At 45.9% G+C, this 6,000-nt stretch overlaps 1 annotated feature.

Annotated features, from left to right (window-relative positions):
* Nucleotides 279–779: an enhancer, noted in NCBI's record as "H3K4me1 hESC enhancer chr1:5203113-5203613 (GRCh37/hg19 assembly coordinates)". NCBI's record gives its function as "activates a minimal SCP1, AML or CMV promoter by ChIP-STARR-seq in naive H9 embryonic stem cells {active_cell/tissue: H9 hESC(naive)}" and the evidence as "EXISTENCE:reporter gene assay evidence [ECO:0000049][PMID:30033119]".

The raw sequence follows: 6,000 nt of genomic DNA, 5'->3' as shown, positions 1-6,000 counted from the left end.
CACTGCTACATGCCCCTTCCCAAGCCCCTTAAATCGAGTCTGAATACCTCAGTTAGGAAATTCCTCAGACAACAGGAGGGTTTGTTGCAGACCCCACAACCTCTGGGAGGTGGGTTTAGGATTTGAGCCACTCTGTCCCCTCTTGGAGGCCACCGCTGTCCCTCCACGCCTTCTGCCTGCCTCTCAAAGACTGAATCTCCTTTTAAATCTGCAAATCACCTTTTTGCAAACTGTTAGACAGTGCTAAGCAATGGAGCCCCGGCGTACATTTAATTTGCAGGTGCTATTTTCCTAGACTGAGGACGTTAACCTGGGAGCCCTGAATCAGATTCGAGAAGAGATGCTTATTGTGAATGAATTATCCTAATGGGCAGTTCAAGAAAGAAAGCCAGGGGCTGCTGTGCCTTCCCTGGAGGTGTATAAACACTCCGGAGGAGGTGGCAGTCAGAGAGGAGTTTCCCCTGACCTCCCTCCTCCTGCTTCTCTTACTAATTAAAACACAGCTAATGCCAATTAAAATACCACCAAGAGCTATTATTGATTTTTTGTTTATACACAGACCTGGGATAATGCAGGGAAATGAGCTGGAAACGCTGTGTGTACTCACTTGGCAATTCTTTGACTGGAACCTGGGCTTCGCGCTTCACTGAGAGCCGCTGCGCCCGGAAAGAGGCTGGCATTGTGCTGTGGGGTGCAACCTGTTGCCAGGACTCAGTGGAGAAAGGGCCACCCGGTACTCAAATGTGGCTTTGACTCGCAGGCCAACTGGCTCTCCCGACCTGCAGGTAGGCAGCCGCTGCAGCTAGTGGAAATGCAGGCTTTGGAAGTCACAGCTTCTGGGCAGCTCAGATGTGAAATGCAGAACCGGTTGCCCTGCATCTGGGCGACTGCCACCCAGGACTAAGCAAGAGGGAACCAAGAAGGTGCCCAGTGACTGTGCGAGCCTCTCAACACAGCCCCCTCCCTCAGTCTTCACTTCTCTGAGTGTCTTCTTGGAAGCCGGGTAGAATTTGTCACTCTCCAAATGATGGAGCGTATCCCAGCTCCCCAAATTCCTGGGTTCCCTCAGATGAGCTTCTTTCCTCTTCTTTTTGAGCACAGAGAGCATTGGAGATTCTGCTCTTGTTAAAAGGCAGCAGAGGGAGGGGCACAAGCAAAGATGTGAACTCTGCAAGGAAGCTAGACCTGAGGCCCCAAACTTCTGCCACCTCATCTTGAAAACAGGGAAATGAGAGTTACTACAATGATGAACGTCACAGTCACGATAAGTCAGAACACTCTGTTCAGCACCTGGTACAGAGGCATACTCAAAAATGTAAGTTAATGTCATTTTTCTCCTACAGCCAGGTGTCTTCCTCTGGGAGGACCAGACATCATATAATGCAGGCACATAAAGAATGCAGTTACTCTGTGTCTGGCAACCTTGGCTGCACGTTAGAATCACCCGGGGTGGTTTTAAAACTCGCAACCCCCAGACCAAACCCAGACCATACCCAACTAATGAAATCAGAGATGTCAATGTGCTGCCCAAATTCAGGACTGATTTAACCAAAGCCCTCTCTCTCACCACCATCCAATGAAGCTAACAATTTCTGGCGGGCATTGAGGGAGCATTGTTATAGACTGAGTGTTTATGTCACCCCAAAATTCGTATGTTGAATCCCTAACCCTCAAAGTAATTGTACTTGGAGGTAGGGCCTTTGGGAGGCAATTAAGTTTAGATGTCAGGGGAGTAGGGCCCCATGATGGGCTCAGTGATTTATAAAGAAGACTTTTTCTCTATTATATGACGGCACAGCAAGAAGGCAGCCATCTGCAAGCCAGGAAGGTTTGCCATAAGAGCTGAATCAGCGAGCACCTTGATCTTGGTGTTCAGCTTCCAGAGCTGTGAGAAATCAACACCTGCTGCATAAGCTCCTTGATCGATGGTATTTTGCTATGTATGGCAGCCCAAGCAGACTAAGAGAAAGTCTTAGTTATGGTGAAAGTCACCAGGCCCCTAGCATTTTGTGTAAGAATCTTTATGAAGAAGCAGTTAGATCTGTGTGTGCCTCTGAATGTTCTGCCATGCCCACCACATCGCCCATCATGCAGATGTGCCATACATAGCCATGTAAATGGTCCCTCAGAGCCCAGCATGTGACCGGGGCCCAGGCACAGCCCATGGAGAGCATCGCTGATGCCCCCACGAAGACTCCACTGCCTGTCTGAGCTGCCCGCAAAGGCGAGTAGAAAGCAGAAAATGGTTTGTGCATCAAAACAGAAAAACCAACACCATTTGTGTGAATTCTACTTTTAGGAAATGTGATTTTAAAAATAAGCCTTTTCAATAGGGTCACATGCAATAAACAGTCTTCACTCATTGCAAATCTACCATGGGCAAGGCATGCAAGGACTGGAGGAGATAAAAGGCACAGGATTACCCAAGGACACTCATAAACACTTCCTGCTAATATCTTCTCTAGGCTGGACAGAGTTATTTCAGACTGGTAAGAAATGGTTTGTGTGGTTGAATAAATGTTCATAGCCCATGGTGGAAAAGGCAACAGGCAAAGATATGGAAAATGGTTCACACCCAACTCTTCCACAAATCCCTGTGACCTTCAGCGAGTCACCACCTTTTATCTGGAAGCTCTGTTGTGGGCAAGGAGATTCAGCTGGAAATTGGAACAAGCACCACCCAGACTCACTGGGAGGGTCACATAGTCTTTGATGAGTCAATGTCAATACTGATTGCAAACTCATGAGAATTCCATGATTGTATATAGAAGGATTTCTATTTTACAAGGAAAAAAAATCTCCTTTCAATTTAAAAAAATAGCTAAAGTCCAGGACCACAAAGAGATTTCATCAGGTGTTACCTGATGGTGACTGCTTGCACCAGGGAGGACCCTGAGCTCTAATCCTTGATCTGTGGGAAACAGAGCTGTGATCAACTCGTGATGCCTGTCATGGGCAAGGGGCCAGGAAATACGAATCCAGATGAGGACGATTTGCCACACTGACCCTGGGATCTGGTGAGCTGAATTTTTGCAAAGAAAAAAAACCCCTTTTCCTATATTTTGGCTTACCTGAAAACCAAGCCCTGACCATCTGGTGAGAGGTCTTCACTATAAATTCAAACAAACTCAGTCTAATAAGCCTGCCATCTTCTGGAACGTTCAATCTACAAACTCAGTCTAATAAGCCTGCCATCTTCTGGAACACTCAATCTGCATATCCATGAATACAGAGTGGTGCTCACAAGGTCAGTGGGGCGTTCGGTCCTCTGCAGGGGCACCACGAGGAAGGCTGGGTGTGAGATGAGGATGTGAAAGTTGGTAGGGAAAACAGGAGACAATACAGAATTATTCCTAACTGTGGCCTGAAGTACCACTGCAACGAAGACACAGGCCAATTAGTGTGCGGGCTGCAGGTGTTAGAATGATTTATTTGGCTTAAAAAAACAAAACAAAACATATACTCCTGTGCACGTTCCAATCTGCTTACTCACATTCATCTTCTAGTAGCAGGAAGCACTTCAGCACTAAAGATTAAGCTGACTTTTTAATAACCAAGGTGAATCAACATCCTCTGATCCTTCCTAATTTTATACCGAGGCGATTAGCAAGTATTGGTAGTTTAAATATTTATAGAAACATAGAGGGGTGCTAATGGCTGAATCAGCTTCAAATGGCAGATGATGACAACATGTTGCATGAACAGATTCTGCTAGACACTTAATAGAAGAAAATACTTTGGCAGGGACTTGGCAATTGAATACACAAAGTGAAACTCAAGTGAGCCAGCTTGGCTCCTATTGGAGAGACGTGGGTTGGCAAGGGAGTGAGGGTCTTGCCCTATGGTTGCCCAGCTATGGATGTCCTTGAAGCCCATCAAGAAAGGATAGGATCAAGGAGAGAGGTGCTTCCTGCCATCTGACTATAAAAATAATGACTGCTCTTACTGGACCCTCAACAAGCACTGCTACTCTGTATCAGCATTCACTGGGATTTCTTAAATGGCACTTCATGTTGAGCAGTCTTCAACCCCTTTTGCAAGTGATAAAAGTCAAAGTTGACTGCCCAAGTTCAAGGTCACACAGCCAATGGGTGTCAGACTGGAGTGTGCCCTGATTCTAGAATTATATCTCCATGTTGCTCCCCACTGGCCTCTGTATCCCTCAGAGGATATGAGTAAACAAGCTCCCAAGTGGTGTTTGCTTCAAGTTCCCCAGCAATGTCAAAGCTGAGCCCATCTTCTTCCAGAGAAACTCTGGGACTCAATCACCTCCACTCCACACCCACGCTTATTCCCAGAGAGCATTTCCTGTGTGGAGCCCATTTGTTTAGCTCATCTTCTCCTAGAACACTTGGAACAGCTGTCTAACATTAGTGTCAGTGGCAGAGGCCCTTTCTTCCAAAGAAATTCATGCAGACACTTGATGTCAGGATGAGGGAGCTGATGTTCTGGGGTCCTGCTGACAACCCTCACCCACTGCCCTTTCACACCCACCCAGCTGGTGCTGAGCCATCAAGGACAACGCCCATCCAGGAACCAAAACCACCAACCAAGGACTGCAACTCTGAAGTCATCAGTCTCTCCCAATGCACCTGTGTTACTAGGTCATTTATGTTTTATTTAAGCTAAGTAACTTTTTCTAACAAAACAAACTACTTTGAGAGAGAAATCACATTTTAATTGTAAATGGAATTAAGTAAAATAAACTATAAAATAATTACAAAATGAAAAGCGTTATCAAATTCTAGGCGCTTTTTTACTGCCTGCTGAAGACTGTAAACATAACGCTGCTCTCTCTATTCAAATGGGAGGTTGGCAGGACATGAAGATTGTCCAACCAAACCAGCGCCCAACTCTATGTCCTCCTTGATATAATCAGCAGGGTTGAAAGTAAAGGAAATGATTTCCTCATGGCATGATGCTATGTTCCTCCATACCCTGAGTGCTCCCCAATGCCCCCTGAAGTTCATTTACCATCTCTTAAACACCACCCTGGGTGGAGTCCCAGGTTTGGGGAGACTATCCAAGGAAACTGTTGGTACTGGGAATATTTGGGAATAAGGGAGAAACCACGAGTCTCTCACATTCAGTGTACAATCTGGGTATCAGTAGTCCTATCTATGTAGGGGCTAAAATGGTGAAGGGTTGTCTACCCCTCCTATTCTGCTCAGACTCATGTGAGAGTGTTCCTCTTACTGCCACCTGTATCTCATGAGAATGGATTCAAATAGGGCTCTGGGTGATGGGAGACACACTTTTGTAGGTCATAGGACCTCAGGGTTTTAAAGCCATTCACTTTGGCATCCATATAATGCTTGAATTCCTCTCCTAGGTACACTGTTCATGACAGAAGGTCTCTAGGATATGCAACAGGGGCAAAAATCCTCATCCCAGGCAAATCCAGGGGCCTCACCAGCACAGAGCTCCAACCACTCACCTGAGCATCAAGGGACAAGAAGCCAACACAGAATGCCCATTGTGGGTTTAGAGAAGGAAGGGCAGCTTCTAAGAGGTCCAGACCGTGGCATCCACAGCAGGCATGATGATACATGCTGACCCTGCCCTTGACCTAATTCAACATCCAATTGTGCCTATATCCAAGAAAAACAAATGGAGATATTTTGCTACCTGTCAGCCTCATTGATTTCACTGTGAACACTCATTAAAATGGTTTCTTTGTACTGAGCTGTGTTGGCTGTGTTACCCTAATTAAACAGTGGAGAAGAATCAGCGGATAATTTGCTGTGGGCTAGTTGAAGGCATCTCTATCATCCATTTCACTCCTGCTGAGTTTGAACGTACCATTTGCTTTTGGACATCATCCGTGTACTCTCCCGGGAGAGTTGTACATTTCCTTGTTGCTCTTGATTTCCACCACGTGAGTTGAGGATCTAATCATACTATTATTACCCCAGCTAAAACTATGTCCACTGCAAAAATATTGCCTATGAGCGCTAGGGACAGAGATGAAGAAAAAGCAAATGTTTTAAATAAACGTGG

This window comes from Homo sapiens, chromosome 1 (assembly GCF_000001405.40).
Source record: "Homo sapiens chromosome 1, GRCh38.p14 Primary Assembly".
Lineage (NCBI taxonomy): Eukaryota > Metazoa > Chordata > Mammalia > Primates > Hominidae > Homo > Homo sapiens.
Note: the sequence above shows the minus strand (reverse complement) of the source record. Positions and strands in the feature narration are given on the sequence as shown.